Source organism: Homo sapiens, chromosome 5, assembly GCF_000001405.40.
Source record: "Homo sapiens chromosome 5, GRCh38.p14 Primary Assembly".
NCBI classification, from domain to species: Eukaryota; Metazoa; Chordata; class Mammalia; order Primates; family Hominidae; genus Homo; species Homo sapiens.
The window spans coordinates 1,639,018-1,665,022 of NC_000005.10; the positions used below are offsets into that span (position 1 = coordinate 1,639,018).

The 26,005-nt window shown below is 54.0% G+C and overlaps 4 annotated features.

Moving 5' to 3' along the window:
* Positions 3,193 to 3,745: an enhancer, noted in NCBI's record as "H3K27ac-H3K4me1 hESC enhancer chr5:1642325-1642877 (GRCh37/hg19 assembly coordinates)". NCBI's record gives its function as "activates a minimal SCP1, AML or CMV promoter by ChIP-STARR-seq in primed H9 embryonic stem cells {active_cell/tissue: H9 hESC(primed)}" and the evidence as "EXISTENCE:reporter gene assay evidence [ECO:0000049][PMID:30033119]".
* Positions 3,746 to 4,297: an enhancer, noted in NCBI's record as "H3K27ac-H3K4me1 hESC enhancer chr5:1642878-1643429 (GRCh37/hg19 assembly coordinates)". NCBI's record gives its function as "activates a minimal SCP1, AML or CMV promoter by ChIP-STARR-seq in primed H9 embryonic stem cells {active_cell/tissue: H9 hESC(primed)}" and the evidence as "EXISTENCE:reporter gene assay evidence [ECO:0000049][PMID:30033119]".
* Positions 4,338 to 5,000: an enhancer, noted in NCBI's record as "H3K4me1 hESC enhancer chr5:1643470-1644132 (GRCh37/hg19 assembly coordinates)". NCBI's record gives its function as "activates a minimal SCP1, AML or CMV promoter by ChIP-STARR-seq in naive H9 embryonic stem cells {active_cell/tissue: H9 hESC(naive)}" and the evidence as "EXISTENCE:reporter gene assay evidence [ECO:0000049][PMID:30033119]".
* Positions 5,949 to 5,998: a silencer, noted in NCBI's record as "silent region_15887". NCBI's record gives its function as "represses an Ori minimal core promoter by ATAC-STARR-seq in GM12878 lymphoblastoid cells {active_cell/tissue: GM12878}" and the evidence as "EXISTENCE:reporter gene assay evidence [ECO:0000049][PMID:35858748]".

Genomic DNA, 26,005 nt, shown 5'->3' on the forward strand with positions numbered 1-26,005 from the left:
GCCTGCCTGGGATGTGTGGGATGGAGGCTGTGGCTTCCCTGGGGACGGGGTGCGTGGAGCCGGCCTGCAGCCGTGCTCCTGTTTAGGAGCTGAGTGAAGCTGGACCTGGGTTGGATGGGGCATTCTGTACAAGGGTCTCTTGGGGGTCCATGAGGACTCTGTTCTGACGATACTGCCCTCCTTCCTGAGGCTGCTGTGGGGCTCCATGGAGGCCATGGGGTGGTGAGGACGGAAGAACACCTAGGCTGGGCTCCTGGGACCCCAGCAGCAGCTGAAGGCACTTGGAGCACCACAATTTCCACCCACGGGCCAGGCAAGGCCAGAACCGTCCCCAAAGAAGGGAGCAAGGAGACAGGGCCTTGTAGTGATAATATAATAACCAAAAAGTTTTTTAAACATTGTTTCATTTTTTTCTGTCACTCAATCTTTTTAAAATTACGTCCTGTTTTTATTACTTGCACCCATCTAATTATTGCCATCTACACCAAACAAAAAAATCTATACACCAATGTTCACAAAGCACTTAAGATGCCTATGAAATGTAATAAGAACTAACTGAAGCTGCACAATATTCCCTTGTATGCATGTTATCACCACGCTGACGCTGGGTACTCAGGTTTTCTTTATTATAATGAATTCTGCAATGAACATCTTTCTGTATAAATTTTTTTTGTGAGTACTTTGCATTATTTCCTAAAATAAATTAGAAGAAGGAATGATGAATCGGAGAATGTAAACATTTGGGGCTTTTGAAACAGACAGTTTTTATAAATTAGAGTCTGTAGTTTTCATTCAGCGAGATTGTTGTGTCTCTGCACATTTTTCACGGTGAAGTCTCATCTGACGGCCCTTCCTCGTCCTCCGCAGAGCCGTGTGTGTATGTGTATAGGGCCCAGCGTGCTGACCGGGCGGTTCTTCAACACAGTGAGTGACAGCAGGAGCCCCGAAGGTTCTCAGGTCTTCTGTCCATGGAGGGCATTTTGTGGCCTCTCCCAGGGCAGCTGGCAGGAGCCAGGTGAGAACAGATGCGTCTGTAGCAGGAGGGCGTTGATGCCTCTGAGGTTGTAGCGAGCTTGGTATTTACCTTTTCCTCCTGGTCCATTCTGAAGCTCCAAAGGACGGTCAATTTAATACAGAGACACAATTACAGCAAGCGTCTAGTGTGAGGCCAATCACGCATTTTGGCTAGAACTACTCAGGGTGTTGGAAAATCACAAAGCTTTTCACGTAAACTTGCAAATTGCTAGCAGTCTCTCTGCAAGACAAGAGATGCTGTCTGTTCCCTGACCCCCGACTCTATACCTCAGCTTGTTCTGCCCCTTTCTGATTGTTCTAAGCAACTGACATACTTACAGCGTTTGGAGCCACGTCATGGCCTTTTGAGGCCGGCGTGCTGTGATATTTTCCTACAGAGCACGGTCACTTCCAGAGGCGAGAGAGGCACAGAATTCTATTCTGAGAACCCCTGGGACGCACGCCGCGGTGGCTGTGAGTATGAAGGCAGATGCTGCGGAACAGCCTGGAAAGGATGTGGGGCCCACGGCCCCTGGCAGTGCCCGGAGCCGAGCAGCCCCTCCCCACCTTCCTGGAGGAGAAGGCCTGGGCCAGATGCCTGAGAATGACACACGCAGGCCCAGCTGTTCTTCAGAGATACAGAGCGACCCACCGTCTGCTTTGCTGGGACTGTCCAGTGTTGGCAGGGAAAGTCCTGCATCCGGCACGCAGGGGCGGTGGCTGCACCAGCTTAGAACCAGTCTCTGATTTTAGGGGTGAGAAAAGTAGAGGTGGGTGCTCTGCCTGAATGCTCACCAGCTCAGGGGGTGCGGCTGAGCAGTGGACATCAGTCAGACATCTCTGTGAAGTGTTAGCGGGAAAAGTATCATGGAACCATTAGCAGCCGCTTGAGGTTAGGCCCAAACCAGTGGGGCCCACCGCATCCAAACACTTGGGGCCACCTGCCGTCATCAGGGGTGGCCCACCTTTCTTCTGAGCGGGGATTCTCTTCCTGCCTGGAGGGAGCAGTTTGGCTACAAAGCTGCCTTTTAGAGCGAGACCCCGTCTCCCCTCCCTGCGTTCCCAGGACTTTGTGAAGAAGAGAAAGTGAGTGGCCCTTCCTTTCTCCTGGATCCCGGCTGTGGGGCTGCCCGCCGCCCTCCTCCTCCCACGCTAGGCTGCCCGCCGCCCTCCTCCTCCCACCCTAGGCTACCTGACCCATGGAGACCGGCCTGAGACAGACGCATCCCCGAACACCAGGTGCCCCGTCTTCTAGGCCATTCCAGGGACGGATGAATCAACATGGGCTTCTTATCCTAATGTTTTAATTTGGAACTCTGCTATTGATCTGATGTTTACAAAGGAACCCATGCGTGACATTAAACTGTCAAAAGAGAAGCATGCACCCTGCGAGAATTCCTGCCTGAGATACTGTCTTTTTGTGACTGTAAGTGCAGAGAGAGCCCACGCAAACCGCAGGACACCAGAGCCGCCGCCCTGCCCCTCCAAGCTGCTGGCACTCGGGCTCACCCTCTCTGGAGGAGCCATCATTCTGGCCTCAGATTCTCCTTCCAAAACATTGCAAATAGAATGTCAGGCAAAGAAAGAAAGAGCCAGGCACACATGGAGAGATGGCAGCGCGAGTGTAAGTGGTGAGAAACCCAGCGAATGAAAACATCTACATAAGAACGCAGACACAGCGCCCTCAGAGGCCGGCTGCAGAAAGGACTGGAGACACTGCAAATGAAAACGTCTACACGAGAATGCAGACACAGCGCCCTCAGATGGCTGCAGAAAGCGCTGGAGACATTGTCCATGAGAAGAAAAAGACAAGGTCAAGAACTTCAGTGGAGAAATAAAAATTACACGAAAAGGAAAGATTTGTATTTTTTTTTTCTGATTGTATTTTTCCTATTCTCCCTCCACTTTCTTTCTAGAACTCCAACTTTTCTCATTGCATTCTCTGTTTTCTCATTGCAGTCTCTATCTCTGTGCCTATTTGTAAATGCAATACAAAAATGATTGCCTGGAAAAAATACAAGCAACGTTTCAGAACTCAATAAGTGGGTTTAAAAATAGTTTAGATGTCATTGAAAAATAATGAATAACTGGAAAGTAGGTCAGAAGAAAATTCTCAGAATGAAGGATAGGAACATAAGGAGGAAAACAGAGAAGAGCAAGTGTGAGGGACTGAACTGCGTCCTCCCAGAATGCACATGTGGAAGCCTGGCTTAGTTCTGGCTGCCATAACAAAATGCCATAGACTGGGGGACTTAGAAACAACAATGCATTTCTCAGAGCTTTGAAGGCTGGGGAGTCTCAGATCAAGGTACCGGCAGATTCCGTGTGTGGTGAGGACGAGGACCGGCTTCCCTAGTTGTGTCACTGCGTCCTCACATGGCGGACGGGGGAGGGGTGCTCTGGGGCCTCTTTTATGAGCAGCCGGGCATCTTGGCCACTCTCCTGTGGAGGGTTAGGTGTGGACAAAAAGTATTTGGCAAAAAGAGTTTGAAACCAGCAATGAGACCCTCCCCAGCTCTGCCCTTTCTACCTCCCACATGAGATGCTTTTCTTTTAGTAAAAGGGAGGGGCCTGGGCCAGCCTGGCCTGCTGCTGCTCCCACACCTCCAGGACTCCTCCACAGGCAGGGTGGGGCCGCCATCAGCTCTGCCCAGCAAACTGTGGGCACAAGGGCTGGGGGTCAGGCTGGGCTGAGGCAGCTCCTATGCCTGCTCTGTGACCCAGAGACCGTAGCCCTGGGGGCTGTGGGAGGGCCACCCAGCCCGGGTTCAGCAGCGACACTCTGTGACCCAGAGACCATAGCCCTGGGGGCTGTGGGAGGGCCACCCAGCCCGGGTTCAGCAGCGACATGAGTGACACACAGACCCTTTGCTTTGAGCCAGTGGGAGGTGGGTGTTACTGCAGCGCAGTCCCGGCCTTGGTGATGCCACCAGCATGTGCGGCACTCACCTGCACTGCAGGACCACCCCCTCTGTAGGACCACCTGCCTCCTCGCCCCACACACGAGCCCTTGGGGGCACCTCTTGGCCCTTGTGCCTGTGTGGAGCTTGATGCCTATTTGAATAAATTATTAGAAAAATTATTAGGTGAGGCCGGGCACAGTGGCTCACGCCTGTAATCCCAGCACCTTGGGGGCCTGAGATGGGCAGATCACGAGGTCAGGAGATTGAGACTCATCCTGGCTAACACGGTGAAACCCCGTCTCTACTAAAAATACAAAAAAATTAGCCGGGCATGGTGGCAGGTGCCTGTAGTCCCAGCTACTCAGGAGACTGAGGCAGGAGAATGGCGTGAACCTGGGAGGCGGAGGTTGCAGTGAGCCGAGATTGCGCCACTGCACTCCAGCCTAGGCAACAGAGCAAGACTCCACCTCAAAAAAAAAAAAATTATTAGATGAAAGGAGCCAGACATGAAAGCAACCACGTGTCCTGTGATGGTGTTCATATGAAATGCTGGGAATAAGCTGCTCTATGGAGGCAGAAAGCAGACTGGGGGCAGCCGGAGGCTGCGGAGAGAGGGAGCTGGGAGTGAATCCAGGGCTCCTTTTCAGGGTGATAGAAATGTTTTGCAATGAGATTCTAGTAATGCCAATATACTAACAACTACACCTCTTTCAGATGCTGCAGGTGGACAGGTGACAGGTGGGGATGCAGTCCCTGCCCCTGACACTCCCATTGAGAGGGCACAACCCTCTGTGCTTTGGCTGGGGGCATCATGGCTGCAGATGCTCCTGCCCCGGCAGAGCTGTTTCTTCCCAGACTCCCATGTGGCCCTGAGTCACCGGGGATCAGAATGAGCATGAGAATGTGGATTCGCGGGGCCCAGGTAGGGTTTTTTCACAAGTGCCCGGGAGCAAGGCTGAAGCTGGTAGCTCAGAAACTGGAGCTGGCTGTCAGCATCAAAACACTGCTCAGTGACAGGGGCTGTATGGTCTGGGGCAGTCCAAGAAAATCATCCAAGAGTGGAGGAAAAACTGTTCTGAAGCCTTCCGGCCTCCAGTGAAATTCCTTGGATGGGAAACCCTGGGGAGGGAGGGTCCCCATTCCCCCATCCCAAAGGGGCCCCTTTGGGCCACTCACCCCGACAAGGGACAGTTTCCCTGGGGACGTCCTCGGACCCGCCCTGGGTACTCAGATATTAAGAAGATGTTCTGATATTCAGTGATTTTCAGAGTACTGGTGTTAAAGTTACACATATATATGCAAAAATAAGAAAATAAACGAATTCCTATTCCTCCATCTAGAGAACACTACCCGTTTTACCTTTTTTGGTGTTTCTAAATAAAATCTTCAAACGAGATCGTGCTGTTCCTGCTATGTAGTTACTTTTAATTCTCTCAGTGATGTCTTAGAGCACCTACCTTCCTGTTTAAACGAGCGCCTGACGCTGCGTTCACGGGCAGTTTTACAACGGGATGCCGCAAATGCATTTCAAGGCATAAAACAGAGCTCCACCGCACCCCGCAGGCAGGTGGATCTGATTTTCCTCTGCTGCAGAGTTTGCTGAAAGCGAGCTCCCCCGCACCCCGCAGGCAGGTGGATCTGATTTTCCTCTGCTGCAGAGTTTGCTGAAAGCGAGCTCCCCCGCACCCCGCAGGCAGGTGGATCTGATTTTCCTCTGCTGCAGAGTTTGCTGAAACCGAGCTCCCCCGCACCCCGCAGGCAGGTGGATCTGATTTTCCTCTGCTGCAGAGTTTGCTGAAACCGAGCTCCCCCGCACCCCGCAGGCAGGTGGATCTGATTTTCCTCTGCTGCAGAGTTTGCTGAAACCGAGCTCCCCCGCACCCCGCAGGCAGGTGGATCTGATTTTCCTCTCCTGCAGAGTTTGCTGAAACCGAGCTCCCCCGCACCCCGCAGGCAGGTGGATCTGATTTTCCTCTGCTGCAGAGTTTGCTGAAAGCGAGCTCCCCCGCACCCCGCAGGCAGGTGGATCTGATTTTCCTCTGCTGCAGAGTTTGCTGGGGGCTAAGGGTGAGAACCGCGGGAACGAACTAACGCGCTGCAGTGTCGGGAAACACGGCCCACAGCGCCACCGTGTGGTCTCCGCGTCCCCAGTTCGGAGCCGCAGCTTACGCGCTGCTGGCCCTGAGCCTGTTCCCTTCCTGCAGTCCCCAGGAGCTGACGCTATTCGGTTTGTTTTTAAACACTCCAGCTGAGCAAGCGTCTTCTCAGGACGTCCTGCGTGCTGCCCACACTCTCTTGTGGATGGTCCCCCGGGTCCGGCGGAATCCCGCCTGGGAAGGCTTCCCCGAAGCCTTCCTCCATCCTGGGCAGTGGCGGGGCTTGCAGGAGGCCTCAGAGCTCTGTCGGGGCCGGACGGACCGCTGTCGTCGCCAGTGCAGGGACAGAAGGGAGGACCCCTTGGAGGGCGGTGGAGACCAGAGTCGTGAGCGGCCCTGTGGAAAGCTGGCGAAGGGGCAGACATCCAACTCGCCAGCAGGAAGCCGCGCCCAGCACGGTCATGCTCAGCCTCAGTGATCCTGGCGGGAAAGACCGAGACAGAAATTCTTCGCACACCCACCAGGCCTCCGGATCCAGCCAGCACCGGGGCTAGCGGACCCAGGCCGTCTACACCTGGGCTTTCCTTCCCAGCTTCCCCGCTCTCAAATTCAGTTGAAAGTGGGTTTGTAAGAATTGTATACCTAGAAAACCCCATCGTCTCAGCCCAAAATCTCCTTAAGCTGATAAACAACTTCAGCAAAGTCTCAGGATACAAAATCAATGTGCAAAAATCACAAGCATTCTTATACACCAATAACAGACAAACAGAGAGCCAAACCATGAGTGAACTCCCATTCACAATTGCTTCAAAGAGAATAAAATGCCTAGGAATCCAACTTACAAGGGATGTGAAGGACCTCTTCGAGGAGAACTACAAACCACTGCTCAACGAAATAAAAGAGGATACAAAGAAATGGAAGAACATTCCATGCTCATGGGTAGGAAGAATCAATATCGTGAAAATGACCATACTGCCCAAGGTAATTTATAGATTCAATGCCATCCCTATCAAGCTACCAATGACTTTCTTCACAGAATTGGAAAAAACTACTTTAAAGTTCATATGCAACCTAAAAAGAGCGCACATTGCCAAGACAATCCTAAGCCAAAAGAACAAAGCTGGAGGCATCACACTACCTGACTTCAAACTATACTACAAGGCTACAGTAACCAAAACAGCATGGTACTGGTACCAAAACAGAAATATAGACCAATGGAACAGAATAGAGGCCTCAGAAATAATACCACACATCTACAACCATCTGATCTTTGACAAACCTGACAAAAACAAGCAATGGGGAAAGGATTCCCTATTTAACAAATGGTGCTGGGAAAACTGGCTAGCCATATGTAGAAAGCTGAAACTGGATCCCTTCTTACACCTTATACAAAAATTAATTCAAGATGGATTAAAGACTTAAATGTTAGACCTAAAACCATAAAAACCCTAGAAGAAAACCTAGGCAATACCATTCAGGACATAGGCATGGGTAAGGACTTCATGTCTAAAACACCAAAAGCAATGGCAGCAAAAGCCAAAATTGACAAATGGGATCTAATTAAACTAAAGAGCTTCTGCACAGCAAAAGAAACTACCATCAGAGTGAACAGGCAACCTACAGAATGGGAGAAAATTTTTGCAATCTCATCTGACAAAGGACTAATATCCAGAATCTACAAAGGACTCAAACAAATTTACAAGACAAAAACAACCCCATCAAAAAGTGGGCAAAGGATATGAACAGACATTTCTCAAAAGAAGACATTTATGCAGCCAACAGACACGTGAAAAAATGCTCTTCATCACTGGCCATCAGAGAAATGCAAATCAAAACCACAATGAGATACCATCTCACACCAGTTAGAATGGCGATCATTAAAAAGTCAGGAAACAACAGGTGCTGGAGAGGATGTGGAGAAATAGGAACACTTTGACACTGTTGGTGGGACTGTAAACTAGTTCAACCATTGTGGAAGTCAGTGTGGCGATTCCTCAGGGATCTAGAACTGGAAATACCATTTGACCCCACCATCCCATGACTGGGTATATACCCAAAGGACTATAAATCATGCTGCTATAAAGACACATGCACACGTATGTGTATTGCAGCACTACTCACAATAGCAAAGACTTGGAACCAATCCAAATGTCCATCAATGATAGACTGGATTAAGAAAATGTGGCACATATACACCATGGAATACTATGCAGCCATAAAAAATGATGAGTTTATGTCCTTTGTAGGGACATGGATGAAGCTGGAAACCATCATTCTCAGCAAACTATCGCAAGGACAAAAACCCAAACACTGCATGTTCTCACTCACAGGTGGGAATTGAACAATGAGAACACTTGGACACAGGAAGGGGAGCATCACACACCAGGGCCTGTTGTGGGGTGGGGGGAGAGGGGAGGGATAGCATTAGGAGATATACCTAATGTAAATGACGAGTTAATGGGTGCAGCACACCAACATGGCACATGTATACCTATGTAACAAACCTGCACGTTGTGCACATGTACCCTAGAACTTAAAGTATAGTAATAATAATGATAATAAAAATCATGTTTACAAGCAAAAGCCACCCTCCAACCTTCTGTCATAGGCGTTTTAATCGTGTGAGGTTTCTAGCCCACGGGCGCCTCTCTCCAGCCCATGGCTCTCTGAGGCAGAAGCAGCCTTCCACTTTCCAAGGTAATGGCACCACCACCCTGCTTGGTGCCCACCAGCATCTCCCTGTCACTCGAAAGACAGTGTCCAAACCCCTGCCTGTTACCCCAGGCCCTGTGGGTCTATCCCGGCAGCTCACCAGCTGTGGCCTCCTCAGACAGCCTCCTTTCCCCCAAATCCCAGCCTCAGTCCCTCGGATGCTTCCAGGTGGGAAGGCTCTGGCAGGCTCCAGGAGGAGCAGATAGAACTTGGGTGATCAGCCACCGGGCGTGGTGGCTCATGCCTGTAATCTCAGCACTGTGGGAATCCGAGGCGAGCAGATCACTTGAGATCAGGAGTTTGAGACCAGCCTGGCCGACATGGCGAACCCTGTCTCTACCAAAAATACAAAAAAAAAAAAAAAAAAAAAATTAGCTGGGCGTGGTGGCCTGCACCTGTAATCCCAGCTACTTGGGAGGCTGAGGCATGAGAATCACTTGAACCCAGCAGGCAGAGGTTGCAGTGAACTGGGATTGCACCACTGCACTCCAGCCTGGGTGACAGACTGAGACTGTCTCAAAAATAAAAGGTGATCAGGAAGTTCTTGTTTTTGCTTTTTGTTTTTCCCCCTGTGGAATCCTTTGCTCTGCAAAACAGGTGAGCGTTTCTTTGGTGGGGCGCTCAGCTCCCCCACCCCCCCCAGAACTGCTGATCCCACCCTCATGTCTGCATTCTTGAGGTGGTCCTGAGACGTGGCTTTGAAAAACACTGCTTGGGCTGGGTGCAGTGGCTCATGCCTGTAATCCCAGCACTTTGGGAGGCCAAGGTGGGAGGACTACCTGAGGTCAGGAGTTCAAGACCAGGCTGGTCAACATGGTGGAACCCTGTCTCTACTAAAAATACAAAAATTAGCTGGGCGTTGTGGTGCATGCCTGTAATCCCAGCTACTTGGGAGGCTGAGGCAGGAGTATCGCTTGAACCCAGGAGGCAAAGGTTGCAGTGAGCCAGGATTACACCACTGCACTCCAGCCTGGGCAACAGAGTGAGACTCCATCTCAAAAAAAAAGGAAAGAAAAAGAGAAACACTGCTTGAAACAAGAAAGGAACACAAAGATTAAAAGCTTAGAATTTTCCATAAACCTTTTGGCCACTTATATGTCTTCTGTTGAGAAATGATCTTTTGTCTACTTTCTATGGGATTATTTATTTATCTATTTTTTTCTGTTGTTTGATTTCCTTGTGTATTCTGGATATTGGCCCCAAAAAGCAAGCGAAAAAATGCTCAACATCATGAATCATTGGGGAAATGCACATCAAAACCACAATGAGGTATCATCTACCCCAGTTCAGATGGCTTTAATTAAAAACAAAAACCATAACAAATGCTGGCGAGGATGTGGAGAAAGGGGAACCATACACACTGTAGGTGGGAATGTAAATGAGTACAGCCGCTATGGACAACAGGATTGAGTTCTTAAAAAATTAAAAATAGAGCTACCCTATGATCCAGCCATCCCCGCTGATGGGTATTTATCCAAAGGAAAGGGAATCCTGTGTGAAAGGGAATCTGGGCCCCCCTGTTTACTGCAGCACTGTTCACAATGGCAAAGATATGGAATCAACCTAGGTGCCTATCAATGGATGAATGGATACAGAACACGTGATATCTATTCGCGATGGAATACTCTGCAGCCATACACAAGAATGAAATCATGTCGTCTGCAACAACATGGATGGAATTGAAGGCTGTCATGTTAAGGGAAGTAAGCCGGGGTAGAAAGACAAATGTACCATGTTCTCACTCATTTGTGGGCACTGAAAGAGTGGCTCTCACAGAGGCAGAGAGTTGGCTGGTGGTTCCCAGAGGCTGGGCAGGGTGTGTGGGTGAGAGGCAGACAGAAAGTGAGGCTGGTTACGGGGCACAAACATGCAGTCAGGGGAAGGAGTAAGTTCCAATGTTCCATAGAACAGTTCACAGACCAAAGGCAACAATCATTTACTGTTTCCTTCCTTCCTTTCTTCCTTCCTTCCTTCCTTCCCTTCCTCCCTCCCTTCTTTCTTTCTCTCTCTCTCTTTCTCTCTTTCTTTTCCTTCTTTCTCTTTCTTTCTCTCTTTCTCTCTCTCTCTCTCTTTCTTTTTCTTTCTCTCTCTCTCTCTTTCTCTCTTTCTTACTTTCTTTATTTCTTTTTGACAGAGTCTCACTCCAGGCTGGAGTGCAGTGGAGGCATGATCTCGGCTCACTGCAACCTCCGCCTCCTGGGTTCAAACGATTCTCCTGTCAGCCTCCCGAGTAGCTGGGATTACAGGTGTGTGCCACCATGCCTGGCTAATTTTTGTGTTTTCAGTAGAGACAGGGTTTTGCCATGTTGGCCAGGCTGGTCTCGAACTCCTGACCTCAGGTGATCCACCTGCCTTGGCCTCCTAAAGCGCTGGGATTACAGGTGTGAGCCACTGCACCTGGTCCGCTGTATATTTCAAAATAGCTAGAAGAACTGGAATCTTCCCAACAGAAAGAAAGAGTAGATGTTCCAAGTGATGGATATACTACATACCCTGATTTGATCACTACATGCTGTGTGCACAATCAAAATATCACAACTGCCCTGTAAATATGTACAATTATTATGTATCAATAAACACTTTTCAAAAAATTTTAGATTTGATTACAAAGACATTAAACCCTGTGACACTTCAAAAAACACCATAACAAAACAAACAAAATCCAACAAAAACCGGAAGCACGCTGTGACGGTTTTGACATCTGATGTCCTCAGTGTCTAGAGGTCTTACGGGAAGAAGGAAGGCGCAATCGAATGAAGTTAGATGTGGAAATAGAATCACAACAACCCAGGAAGATGCAATTTGAGTTTTAACGATGAATTTAGCAATTTGCTTAAAAATAGTAATAGTCAATGTTGGCAAATATTCAGAGGAATATGCGTTTTCAGATACTAGTAGCAAAAGTATCAGCATAATTTTGTTCTGGAGAGGGGTTTGGTAATATGCACCAGAAGCCTTCCAATGTGGCTGACCTAGCAATGCTGCCTTTAGGGTGATAAACTGGCAAGTGGTCAAAATCCGCTCTGTGGCCTGTTGCTGCACGGCCAAGAGCTCGGAATGGTCCGTTACTGTGAAAACGATTAGCGAATAAGGAAGAGTGTGCGGTGGAGACCATCTTCCCCGTCCCCGCCCCCAGCACAATACTGACTCTCTAGCTGTCTGCAGAGCACGTTTGCAGACCCCTGATCTATGTGGAGGAGTAAACAAGTAAACAACAAAACGGTCCAGGTGTTCATTTTGCAGCATTTAGAAAATGTTGGTAAAAATAAAATAAAGAAATAAAGGGCCTAAATGTCCGTCTTTCCAACCTCATGGAAGTAGTTCAATCGATTCTGGCAAATGCAAATCCTGTCGTGTTCGGCAGCCGCTACAGGTAGACAGTGCTGCTGAAGAACTTCCAGTAACATGAGAAAACACTCATGAGAGGGTCGTGCTAAGTGAGAGCATTAAGTTATACAGACGACTTTATTCCAATTTTAATTTGAAGGTGTGTAAATAGAAAGAAATGGAAAGAAAGAAAATACTTGAACATCTTAATTACTGGGTGTTCATCCCGGGTGTGGGGAAGCAGGGGCTTCGGGTGAGGGTGGTGGGGGGTATGAGGAGTTTGGAGGTGGGTGGGAGGGGATCCCTAAAGTGACAGAGTCCTGGGAGCCCAGGGCTTGGAAGCTCACCACCTGGCAGTGCAGCCATGGGATCCAGACAGCTTCGCTGGACAGACGCACCGTGAGGGCTGGGGTGGGTCCTGGGGAGGGCAGGGCCAGAAAAGGGTGGGGCTGGGGAGAGTGGGGTCAGGGGAGGGCGGGGCTGGGGAGGGATGAGGCCTGGGGAGGGGTGAGGCCTGGGGAGGGTAGGGCCTGGGAAGAGTGGGGGATGGGGAGGGGTGAGGCCTGGGGAGGGTAGGGCCTGGGAAGAGTGGGGGATGGGGAGGGGTGAGGCCTGGGGAAGGTGGGGCTGGAAGAAGGTAGGGCTGGGGAGGGGTGGGGCTGGGGGAGGGATGAGGCCTGGGGAGGGGTGAGGCCTGGGGAAGGTGGGGCTGGGGAGGGGGGGGCCACAGAGGGCAGGGCAGGGGTAGGGCAAGGCTGGGGAGGGATGATGCCTGGGGAGGGGTGGCCTGGAGATGTCAGGGCTGGGGAGGGTAAGGCTGGGGAGGGATGAGGTCTGGGGAGGGGTGGGGCTGGGGGAGGACCGGCCTGTGGGGCAGGGCCTATGGGGGCATGGGGCCTGGGTCCTCGGGGCCTGGGACAGTGTCACTCTTCCCTTCCTTGGCTCATCCTGTGACCCGAAGAGCCTCTGCCAGGCCCTGGGCTCCTGCTGAGCTCCTGCTGAGAACAAGGCAGCCTGGTTTTTCTTTGATCTCCTGCCCCGAAGGTTGATGAGGGGATGGAGGGTCTGGAGCAATGGCCCAGACAGGGTGGAAGTTCCCTGGGGAAGAAGGGGGTGCCTGGAGTGGGTGGGTGGTCAGGGACCTTTCGAGAGGAGGGGTCTCAAGGTGAGGGCTCCTCAGGCCCCCGAATGTGGGGCAGGGTGGGTGCACAAGCAGAGGCTGTGGGGGAGGTGCTGGGCAAGGGAAGGGCAGGGCCCATTCTTAGGAGGAGCCTGAGAGTGGGACAAGAACAGATAAATTCTCAGGGAGAATGGGGTCCCTCGCCATGGGGGGTCCTGGAACAATCCATGGCGGCCTGTCCCTCTGCCTGCTCCCACCACAGTTCCGTGCTTCTCCAGAGGGCCAGGCTGGCCATGCTGTCCCTAACCCACTCCAGGGACCACATGAGTGTAACAGGATGTAGGAGAGAGCCAGGGCTTGGAAATCCATGATCTGGCCGTGTGGCCATGGGATCTGGCCAGCCTCGCAGGATGCTGTGAGGTGGGGCGAGGGCCGGGTGCAGGGAGGATGCTGTGGGTCTCCCAGGTGCCCTGTGCAGGACAGCAGCCAAGTGCTCCCAGGGGCCACCCTATGTCACACCCAGTGTGGGGGGCCCTGAGGGCAAAGGGTCCAGGGGAGGATATCAGGAGTGCCCTCCCTGTTGGAGGCTGGACTGGCCCTCCTTCCCCACAAGTGGGTTTTAGGTTGGGGCAGGAGGGAGGGACTTAGGAATGAACACGATCAGAGTAGACTCTGCTCCTGCTTCCTTGGGCCCCCACCAGCCTGGTGACTTGCTGGGGGGACACGAGGAAGATGGGGCGTGGCTGAGGCTTGGGCGGTGGGGAAGAGCCAGCTTGGGCCGGGTGTCTCTCTGTGAGGGGAGGGACCCTGGCAGGCCACGCCGAGGCCTCACAAGGAACTTGTGGTTGATGCTTTCCAAAACAGGCCCTTGGCATTTGGGTGACAGCCAGGCAGAGCTAGCTTGGTGGTGGAAGCCACTGACAGCGCCGGTTTCCCGATGAAAACTTGACGTTCGTGTTTTGAGAGCTAGCTGGGGAGACTGGGAGCTGGGTCCTCTCGGAGTGCCAGGTCAGCCGATGGCGTGTGGCCTTACGTGTGGGGTGGGGTCCCCTGTCCAGGGGTCTGAGCTTCTCACGCCTCTGGGCCCTCCGTGCTCCAGCGTTCTCAGGTTCTTTTTTTTTGGGGGGACCTTGTGGGGGCCACACATCGCGCCTGACTCCCCAGACGGATGGACCTGGCTGCTGCCTCCCCGTCCCCGGGAAGCGGCTGGCCAGTGCATCAGGGAACACAGGTCTCTTTCCTCTGTCTTCCTCCATCAGGCTCCGGAAAAGCTTTCCCCAGAGAAGACACCGGACAGCAGGGGCCGCCTCCCGTAGCTCTTGTGACCCAGCCTGTTTCTGCATCTGAGCTGCGTCCTCTGGGTGGGGGTGTCTGCACCTGGGGTGTGTGTGAGAGGATGAGGGAGGGAGCGTGCCTGTGCCTGTGTGCGTGCAACTGTGTTCCTGCAGGCTGTGCCTCTCTGTGCACGTGTGTGCAGCCATGCGTGCGTGTTCACACGTGTGGAGTGTGTGCGTGCGTCCGTGCCTGGGTGTTGCGGGTGGTGAGGCTGGCAGAGCGTCCTGACCCCTCGGGCCCCAGGCCTTGTCCCTCTTCTCCGTGTCCCAATCTTCCTTCAACCGCCCGCCCCGCCCCTGCCTTTGGTGGCCTGGAGTCCCCACCAGCTCTGGGTACTAGGGCGCCGGGCAGCGCGGGAACTAACGGGCTGAGTCTGTGGGGTCGGGATGACTGAAAACAGGCCCTGTCTTCGGTTTAGGCTCAGGCGGAAACCCCCCGGGGGCCTCTGGGGGCTGCGGTCGGTGCCAGGGGTCCCGGGCAGCTGCCTGAACGCGCACAGCGGCTCCTGCCCCGCAGCCTCCGCCCCGCGCCCGCGTCCTCGGGCCGGCAGCGCCCCCTGGTGCCGCCTCGGGTCTGTGCAGGGCCGGGCGGGCTGCGCTGAGCATCTGCGGACGCCTCCGTGGGTGACGGAAGACAGAGGGGCTGACCAGGTCTTCTACAGGTCAGTGGGCGATCAACAGCTGGACGCGTAGCAGGGGGTATCCGGGTGGCCTAAAAGAATTCAGCAAGGCCGACTGCAGGCCGAGGGTCACCAGGAACTGACCTGGAAGGAGTGGATGTGGCCGCCCCAGGACCACCCTGTTCCAGGTGCCCGGCCCTGGCCATGGAGCCCTTGGACTTATTTGTTTCTTTAGCTGCAGCGAGCGGGGTCCCGGTGCTGAGCAGAAGACCCCGTGCTGCGGTCCCTGTGCTCCCTGGCAGCTGTGGGAGGAACTCTGACCTTTGGGGCCCCTGGGCACCTACCCTGTTGGTTCCCGCTCTGGGCTGCCGAGGGCTGGGTGCTGTGCTGTGTGAAAGGCCGTATGGGCGGGGCTTCTGTGTCCCCTGAGTCAGGCACTGCACCCTTATGCTCCCCTCAGGGGCCACACCACCTGCAGTGGTCCCTGGAGAGCAGAGGAAAGGTCCCCCTGGGCCAGATGGGGGCAATTGGTGGGCGGGGCCTGGCTCTACAGGAATGGGGGACCAGGGGCTTTCCCTCCAGGAGTGGTAACAGATCAAAGAACATCTACCCCAAACCAGACCGGACTCAGCACACACCTTATCCAGAGCTCTAAAGACACTAGAGTGGGGAGTAGAGAGAGAAAGAGACCGACAGAGACAGACAGAGGGAGAGATTCAGAGCAAGGTGGGGCAGGGGTGGCAGAGGAGGAGAGACCCCAGCTCTTCTCACCTCACAGACCTCTCGGGCCAGCTTGGCCCCACCCCCACCATCCACCCTGCAACTCCACCCCCACCCGCCCCCTGGGCTGAGCAGAGACCTCTGGGACATGGTCACCTCCACACAGAGCCTGTTCCAGAAGGCAGGACCCCGTCCCTGCCCCAGCTTCTGGCTGGCAGGGCTGTGTCAATGACTTCTGGCCAAGCGACCCCAGGAAATGGCATTCCATGGGGTCAGGTGGCTCCTCAGTGCCTCTTCCCGGCTTTTCATGTAAAATCATGGCAGGTGGCATCAGGCAGTGTCCCACACCCCTACAAGCTCAGGGGGAAGCCACCTTTACCCACAGGGCCAAAATGTGGACGCAGGCTCCCCTCTGGAGTGGACGCGCTGAGGGCACACCCAGGCCCTGGTCCCCTCAGCCGCATCAGAGCAGCACACAGGGCCGGGTGAGGGTGGCCTCCACCCCTCCACCACACCAGGCACAGCTCGGAGCCAGGCCAGAGAGAGGGTGTCAGCTCTGCAATGCATTGAGTAGTTTCCACCCGTGGCTGTGAGGAGCAGCATTTCCTGACAGAAGTTTCTAGCACATGTGTGTTGGCGAGGATGCGGTCGTCTACTTGCTGGGCACACACTGTGCCAGGCTGAGGGGAGGACCCCAAAGATGTGCAGCCCCGCAAACCTGTGAGTGCCGCCTTAGACGGCAACATGATGACAGGTCTGGAGCGGGGAGAGTCTCCCGGGTCACCCACCTGCACCCTGTGCTGTGCCAGGTAGTGGCCCCCCCAACCCCAGATTCATATCCCTCCCCACACCTCAGAATGGGACCCTATCTGGAAATAGGCATTGCAGACGTGATTCATTAAGACGTGGTCATCCTGGAATAGGGAGGCCCTGATCTAGTATAACCCGTGTCCTTATGAGAAGAGGAGAACGCAGGGAGGAGGGCGCCATGAGCAGAGAGGCCCAGCGGGGCCAGGAGCCCACTGAGGGCCACCAGGGGCTGCCGGCCACACCAGATGCTGGAGGGCAGCCGGCCCGACTCTCAGCCTCCAGGAGGCACCAGCCCAGTTCACAGCTACGGATTCCAGACCTTGGCCTCCAGAACTGCGAGACAGGCGTGCACTGTTGCAAGCAGCAGGTGTGGGTGGTTTGCTGTGGCCACCCAGGAAACTCACACAGGTCCTCACTGCAAAGACAATGTCCTTGCAAGGAGGAGGCAGGAGAAGGCGGCCGGTGACCGAGGATGGAAGTGGAGAGAAACTGGAAGACGCTGTGCGGCTGACTCTGCGAGTGGAACCAGCTGCTTCTGTGGAAACTCCTTCGAAGAAGGCTTTTGGGAACCACCTCTGTTTAGGGACAGACTGTGGTGTGACTTATTTCCTGTACAGCAGCTAAGGTGACCCTCAGTCCTTCACATTCCCACTGCATGTCTGGGTTTACAGATCCATCAGCTCTGGCCCGGCCTGCAGGTGCGGGCCGCTTAGGCACTGCCCGATGCCCTCAGCTCCTCCATCCCCTCCGGTCCACCCTGGGGCTGCCCCCGTACTTCCTAAACATGCGGCCCCTCCTGTGCCATGGCCCATAACCGAAGCCACTTGCCCAGGAGGCGCTGTGGGCAGAAGGTGGGGGCCCATGGTACTCTTAGGGGCTCCCAAAGTGCTTCCATTTCTTTTAAAATAAGAAAAATATAAACTTTTAGGTCAAAACAATGTTTTACTCTAAAAAATAATGTTTCATCTTTATCCTGTGGGTGTCAATGCGCACAGTGTTCCCTGTCCGTGGTGTTGGGGGAACTGTAAGTCACAGTGTGGCTCTCCCCAGAATGTGCCTTCCACCTGCGGTCCCCACCTCACTGTCCTATCCTGGCAAGGGCTTCTCAACTCCCAAACCTCAGCTGAGTCTCTCTTCGGTGCCCTGTGGCTGCCATAACAACTAGGATTCATTCTCTCCCAACTCTGAAGGCCAGAAGTCCAAAACGAGGATGCCACCGGGCTGGTTCCTTCCGGAGGCACTTCTGCTACGGACTCAATGTCATCCTCAGATTTGTAAGCTGAAGCCCCCAGCCCCCAAAGTGATGGTCTTAGAAAGCAGGGCCTATGGGGGGTCATGAGGGTGGAGTTCCCAAGATGGGATTTGTGTCCTTGTAAGAGGACGACCACACCAGGGCGCTCCCTCTTTCTCTGCCCCTCTCTCTTTCTCTGTCTCTGGCTCTCCTTCTCTGTTTGTGGCTCTCCCTGCCATGTGAGGACAGAGTGAGAAGGCGCCTACCCCAAGCCAGGAGGAAGGAATTGAGTGGGCTGGGACCTTAATCTTGGCATGTGCAGGCCCCGGGACTGTGAGAAGTCAGCCTCTGTTGTTTGAGCCTCTGGTCGGCGTTTGTTGACTGCCGGAACTGATAGAGATGCCTGCATGCCTCTCCCAGCCTCTGGCAGTGCCAGCAGTTCGTGGCGCCCCGTGGCTGTGTCTCTGCCTCTGCCTTCTCGGCCTCCTTCTCCCTGCATCTCTTCACGTTGTCTTCACTCTGTGTCTCTGTTTGCCCTTCCGATGAGGGCACAAGTTGTGTCTGGGTCCCAGGGCTGATCGGGTGGCCCAAGTAACAGACTGTGCTGTCACGCTGTCTTGCTGAGATCACGGTGTGGGCAGGACCATGACCCTCCCGAAGCTCCAGGGAGTCCCTTCCTGGCCTCTCCCAGGCCCTGGTGCTGCCAGCTGTCCTTGGTGGGTGGATGCCTGCCATAGGTTGGACACTCAATCAGTTACTGTTTGGAAAAATAAGTGAAGCTGGAGTCCCCACCTCCTGACGAAAACTTGTCCAGCCCCCTGTGTGGGGCACATGTGCTAAGTCCCCTTAAAACCTTGTATTTCTTATTTTTATCTTTATTTTCTTTTATTATTATTATTTTTTGAGATGGAGTCTCACTCTCGTGCCCAGGCTAGAGGGCAGTGGCATAATCTCAGCTCATTGCAACCTCTGCCTCCTGGGTTCAAGCAATTTTCCTGTCTCAGCCTCCTGAGAAGCTGGGACTACAGGTGCCCGGCATCACACCCAGATAATTTTTGTATTTTTAGTAGAGATAGGGTTTCACCATATTGGTCGGGCTGGTCTCGAACTCCTGACCTAGGGTGATCCACCGACCTCGGCCTCCCAAAGTGCTGGGATTACAGGTGTGAGCCACCGCGCCTGGCCAAAACCTCCTATTTCTAATTCCCCTGACTTGGGGTGTGAGCTCACCCCTCGTAGGTGACAGTGTACCTGCTCTGCTTTGCAAAGTATCAGGACTGAAGTGTGTCCCTTCTGCTTCATAATTACCCATGGACTCTGTTGTCCCACACCATGTTTGCGTAGTGAACACGCCTGTTAATGCCCATGTACTTCTGTTCATGCACAAAGGCTTAAATGGTTAAACATCTTAAAACAAATATGCTCAGCAAATGGAAATCAAACCCATTTCCTTTTCATTTCAGAGTTGTCCGGGGAAAGCGGACTTGAAAGACGTTGAAATTGGATAGGTAATTAATTCACGTGCACCTACACGAGAAAGCAAAGAATGCACAAAGTATTTGTAACATTTTGTAAGCACTGAAATTAATGTAGTGTGAATTTGTCATTTCTACCAAAAGTTACAGATTTTCTATATTATAATTTAATCTTTTTAATGTAAAAAGAATAGAAATTTTGCCCTTTCTGGCCTCTCGGGAAGCAGGAACTAGTGTATCTAATTATCTGAACACATAAGAACATAAAGGAATACCAAGTAGTGGAATTATAAATCGGCTGGAACAACTCCATGTTTTCTGATTAAACTCTCTTTCTGGGGCCCTTAGCAATCATGTTGCCCCTATGTTCATAGTAATTGCATGTGTCAAAGCAGAGGCTTTGTGTAAATGGGACTGAACGAGTTACAATTTTAATTTAGAAGGAGATAACTGTGTCCGCGGCTAGCAGGCCGGTCGGCGGGTTGGGAGTCTGGTGGAGTGCGAGGGCAGAGGCCCCAGGGCGTCAGGTTGATGGCGGGCGGAGATCTAATCAGGCCACCTCACAACAGCTGAATTGTTAAAAAAGAGAAACGCAATTTACCAACACAAAACCAGCCACCTGCTCTCTTGCCTGCGTTATCCATGTAAAGGAGGGCGTCTAATTTTTTTCATAGCTCAAGGGCAATGAATTTTAACAATGGATACTGCCTTGATCATCAAAACGGTAACAGGCTTAAAATGAGATCTTTTGGATAGACTGGAATCTTAGAAACAAAGCAAAATTCTGTTTTTAACTTTTAAAATGCTCAGTATATGCAGAGGAGTAGCCACTCCTTTATAATTTTTGTGAGGAATCTCAGGTGCATGGATGTTTGAGGTTGCTTTTTACGGAAGGGCATATTCGATTCTCCCAAGCAGGCTGTGCTGACTCAGTCATTCAAAGGAAAAATCCAACGGGCAGGAGCACCTCTGCTTCTGACCCCAGAAGGGTTCTCTCTCTAAGGCTGGAAGGATTCATAGCAAAGTCTCCATCGGGAAGCACCGACTTAGTCACAGGTGAACCCAGTGATGCTGAGGCTGAGCCTCTGCCCACTCCTGCACCCATGTGGCCCGGGGCTCACCACCACACTTGTGTCCTTCCCGTGGGCTCTGAGTGCAGCCCTCTCCCGGGGCAGGGAGGGTGGCCGCGAGCCGGTGGGTTCGCTGGTGCCGGCTGCTCCATTCCTAGCTCCAATCCTGTCTCTTCCAGCTCAGCTTTCCTGCTGGTCTCTCATTTTTGGCACATAAAAAGCCAGCGTTAAAGAAACTCTCCTATGTAGACAAGGGAGGCTGAGCTGGAGGCAAGAGTTGCAGGACTTTAGACTTCATGGCTGTTTCAGTCTGCTCAGCCCTCCCTAACAGGATGCCACAGGCTGGGGGCCCCAAGAACAGATGTGGGTTTCTCACAGGAGGCCGGGGGTCTGAGGTCCGGGTGCCGGCAGGGTTGGGGTCCGAGGAGGGCCCCCTTCTGGTTCACAGACGGCCCCTCCTCCGTGTGTCCTCACACGGCAGAGAGAGAGGAGGCTCTGGTGTCTCTTCTCATACGAGCCCTAATCCCATGACAAGAGCTGCACCTTCATGGCCTCATCTAACCCTCGTTATCTCCCAAATACCACTGAGGCCGTCCTGCTGGGGCGAGGGCTTCAGCGTGTGAATTCTGGGGCAGGGGCACGGTGACGTGCTTGAGGGAAAGAGCAGGCGCCCTTCCCCCCACCGACCCCGACCCCGCCTGGCCCAGCGCACTCCTCCGGCAGGGGCTGCCCAGCTGCCTTGTGCCTGTGACCCAGGACCCCAGAGTGAGTCTCTGTGGGTGCTGCCCTGACTCCACTGGACACGCGCCATCATCCCTGCCTTAGGGACAAGGAGGCAGATGGGTGGCACTCACTCGAACTGCCCCACTGGCCGGGAGCTGGGGCTGGCTGGAGGCTGTCTGCCGCCTGGGCTCCTGGCACTCTCCTAACCACCTCATGGGCCTGAGGGTGGCAGCTTCTGCCCCCGAGAGGTCACCCACCAGATGGGGGGTTCCCTGCCGCTCTGCGTGGGTGTCTGTGGGAAAAGGCCTCCAATCAGGAAGAATGATCCGCACATTTATGAACAAAAATCTTCCAACTTTTGAGACATTCTGCCACTTTGTGCAAACTCTCTGTGCCTGTGGCTTATTTGTGGCAGGAGCAGGGAAGGGCTCGTGGCTCCCTCCTGCACAGCAGGACGTGGCGGAAGGACAGGCGAGAACACCTCCTCACCGAGGGACGGAGGCCAAAGAGGCCTACTGAGTGTCCTGATGTCAGGAGCAGGTTCCCCTCCCCGGACACAACCCCAAGTCTCAGCTCCCACTCTTCCCGCGGGCCTCAGGTGGTGCCATCAGGTCAGGCTGGGTTGCCTCTGTGTTGTGTGTGTGTGTGTGTGTGTACATATGAGGCTGGGTTGACTCTGTGTTGTGTGTGTGTGTACGTGTGAGGCTGGGTTGACTCTGTGTTGTGTGTGTGTGTGTGTATGTGTGTCTATTATCACCAGTATCAAGGAATACGGTGGGAAATGTTATTATCAACAAAAGTTGAAACAACATGGCAAATAACAGATTCAAATGGTAGACAGGTTTTGTTTATTCGTGCTGGGGTTATTACATTTAATTTTTAAGCTGTGAGGCACACAAACAAGAGGAAGAAGGATGCGCTGGCCAGAAGCGCAGGTGGCTCCAAACGAGAGAATCCCTGTCCCCTAGCACCAGCCTTCTGTCATTACCAAAATACTCCTGGCCACCCCATCCTTTTGCCACGAGCCATGCGAGTCCTTACACACCTGTTTTGCCCCTGAAAGTGAGATAGAGACCAAAATGATTAGATTCTAAAATGACCAAGACCCATGTAGCCTAGAGGACACTAGGCTGCTGGACTGAAACACGATTCTTCAGGGGTGCCAAGGTGGAGCGGGCTGTCCCCACCCACTCAGCACAGCGACAGCCGTGACCTTGAGAGGGGCTCCGGGCCCTCCATTTGGCTGCTGTGCCACTGGGGAGGGACCCCAGGGATGCTGGCCTTGAGAGGGGCTCTGGGCCCTCCATTTGGCTGCTGTGCTGCTGGGGAGGGACCACAGGGATGCTGGCCTTGTGGAGCGGCAGGTGTGGGCCTTGGCACCAAGGTCCCCTGGGAGCTCAGCTGCTCCTGGCAGCCCCGAGCTCAGGCCTCCACGGGGCTTTGCGTTTGTCAGCATCCACACAAGGGCCTTCTCCACGGCAAACCTGCTTTGTTTGTGGCACTTTGTTTTCGGGGGTCGGGGGTCGGGGGGTGGCTATCAGGAGCCCTCAGCAGTGCAACTTTCCTTTTCTGAAACACGTGGAACCAGAGGACTCTGTCCTCGCAGACACGCTGGCCCTCAGAGCCCCTGTTTCTCCCACCTACGTCATTTTACTTCTGGCCTCCACTCTTGGGGTCCATTGCAGGCTGAGCAGTTTGGTTTGAGGAGCCCCCAAGGTCCTAACTTGTGGTGTCTGAGCCAGGGGGGATTGAGGAGCCTGTTTAGCCCCTGCTGGGGGATTTCTCCCACAGCAGACCCGAGAGTGGGTGCCAGGCACTCCAGGGGTAGGGGATGCCTTGGACCAGCCTGCTCCTGCACACCTTCCCGCGGTCCCCGGGGTCTGGGTCCATGAGCTATGGCCACAGCCTCCTGTGGCCCCTGCTGTGATCCGGGCCACCCCAGCTCCCGGCAGAATAAAGGGCACCAGCAATGCGTGTCCAGTAAGGCTTGTCATAAGCTGACCTCCCTATAAACTCAGGTGACCTTCTCATGCCCACAGAGACCTCCCGGCCCTGGAAATGCCAAACTTTCACCCCATAGTCCCTGCCCCTGGACAGCCTGCCACCACCCGCTGCTGACCCTTCCAAAGGCGTCCCTCCTCGGCAGGGTTAGGTCGTGCTCCTGGGTCGTGTCAACGAAGTTCATGTCGGCCTAAAACGTGTGGCCTTCCCGTGGTGCTGCCAGTCCTGCTGGCTGGACCGGACATCTTTGAGGAGGGAGAATCAGAAACTGACCTCTGCCTGCCCAGCCGCCCCTCTGCGCCGGGCACCACTCAGCACGTGGGTGGGAGTGGATGCCGCTCCATCTTTAGGACACTTTTACTTTCTGTACATAGTCCTGCCTGTCGGGATGCAAAACAGCAGGCCCAGTCCTTTTCCGCAAGACAGCATTCCAGATACCGGGAAGCAGACACTCCGTCCCAGTGCTAGTCGGCTGCGTGACAGAGTGCACAGGTGGGGCCGAGAACACAGCAACGTGTCCCACACTCCCGCAGGCTGGGGACACGCAGACAAAGTGTGTCCCTGTGTCTGTGTGTATCTGTCTGTGTGCGTCCCTGTGTCTGTGTGCATCCCTGTCTGTGTGTGTCTTTCTGTCTGCGTGTCTCCCTGTGTCTGTGTGTGCCTGCGTGTCTGTGTGCATCCCTGTGTCTGTGTGTGTCCGTGTCTGCGCATCTCTGTATCTGTGTGTGTCTGCGTGTCTGTGTGTGTCCGTGTGCATGTGTCCCTGTGTCTGTTTGTGTGTCCCTGTGCCTCTGTGTCCGCATGTCTGTGTGTGTCTGCATGCGTGTGTGTCCCTGTGTCTGTATGTGTCCCTGTGTCTGTGTGTCCACGTGTGTGTCCCCATGTCTGTGTGTCCCTGTGTCTGTGTGTCCGTGTGTCTGTGTGCCCTGTGTATATGTGCATGTCCATGTTTCTATGTGTGTCTGCATGTCTGTGTGTGTCTGTGTGTGTCCCTGTGTCTGTGTGTGTTCTTGTGTCTGCATGTCTGTGTGTCTGGTCCCTTCCTGCACCAGAGCCCAGGTGTGTCAGGTCAACCCCAGCCCGATTCTGAGCTGTTCTGACAAACGGTCATTGTGAGTGTGGTCCTGACCTTCCCTGAGGGCCATGTGCTGTGATGTGGCCCAGTTGACCTGGGCGGGGCTGAGACCTGGAGGGGCCGCACTGAGCCAGATCCCTCTCCGGTCTGCTGCCCCCACAGTGTGTAAGGGTGGCACGTGTCCCGCCCTCCTCACAGGCCGTGTACCCCCATGGCGAGTGTCTCCTTACGGTTGAGGGCTGGCGCTGAGATTGAGCTTTCGGGGTTGGTGAGGACGAACCTGTGTCCCCAGGTGTGAGAGGCAGGAGCTGGGAGGTCAGGGGGTGGCTGGTTCCACCTCCAAAGTCCCTCCCAGATGGTGAGTGGACGGAGGGGTCCTCCCGGTGAGGGGCGGCGGTGAGTGGACGGAGGGGTCCTCCCGGCGAGGGGCGGCGGTGAGTGGACGGAGGGGTCCTCCCGGCGAGGGGCGGCGGTGAGTGGACGGAGGGGTCCTCCCGGCGAGGGGCGGCGGTGAGTGGACGGAGGGGTCCCCCTGGCGAGGGGCGGCGGTGAGTGGACGGAGGGGTCCTCCTGGTGAGGGGCGGCGGTGAGTGGACGGAGGGGTCCCCCTGGCGAGGGGCGGCGGTGAGTGGACGGAGGGGTCCTCCTGGTGAGGGGCGGCGGTGAGTGGACGGAGGGGTCCTCCTGGTGAGGGGCGGCGGTGAGTGGACGGAGGGGTCCTCCCGGCGAGGGGCGGCGGTGAGTGGACGGAGGGGTCCTCCCGGCGAGGGGCGGCGGTGAGTGGACGGAGGGGTCCTCCCGGCGAGGGGCGGCGGTGAGTGGACGGAGGGGTCCCCCTGGCGAGGGGCGGCGGTGAGTGGACGGAGGGGTCCTCCTGGCGAGGGGCGGCGGTGAGTGGACGGAGGGGTCCCCCTGGTGAGGGGCGGCGGTGAGTGGACGGAGGGGTCCTCCTGGCGAGGGGCGGCGGTGAGTGGACGGAGGGGTTCTCCTGGTGAGCAGGAGACAGCCTCCGCGGGGCTTTGGCAAAGTGGCCTGTCTTCTCTTTCATGCTATTACAATGGGCTCCACTGGCTGCATCTTGTTACATTGTGTCACATCATGAGACACTAAGATCCCTTCAAATTAAGATTCTAAGATTTGATGAATTTCCTGCTGAGTTTCTTGAAACAACATTTTGTTCAGAACCACAGGACCTGTGTTTTATTTCTTCAAGGAAGGTAGACACAAAAGTAACAGCAGGAGGGAATACTTGTCTATGCAGGTTATGTCAAGTCTACAGTTAGCTCTCTGTCACTCCGCAGACTGGACATGACAGCCATAAAGGTGTCAATATACCCCCTGCACTATTGTTTTGATCCAAGAGCACATGGCTATTGAAAGGTTCTGTCTGTCTGAGAGAATGATTCTCATCTGCTCTGTCTTATAGTAGCCATTTCCTAAAATATTGTCATGGTATATTATGGTGTTATTTTTAATAATTTCTCAGTCCTCAATACAAATAGATATTTACTAAGCCCTTCCTGGATCAGCTCATGTAATCCCCAGTCTCAGGGAGTAAACACTGTGATTATCCCCAACTGAGGCAGGGAGACCTGAGAAACATGCCTAAGTTTGCCATGGGTGGTGGCAGAGAGGGGCTGCTGAACCTGGCAATCTGACTGCACAGGGTGCCCTAAAACTGCTCCTCCATGCTGCCTTGCCATGGCAACAGTTACCCCAAATGTCCCCTTTGGGAGTGCAAGGTCCTCAAAGCCAGGGACTTCTTTTTCTAGTT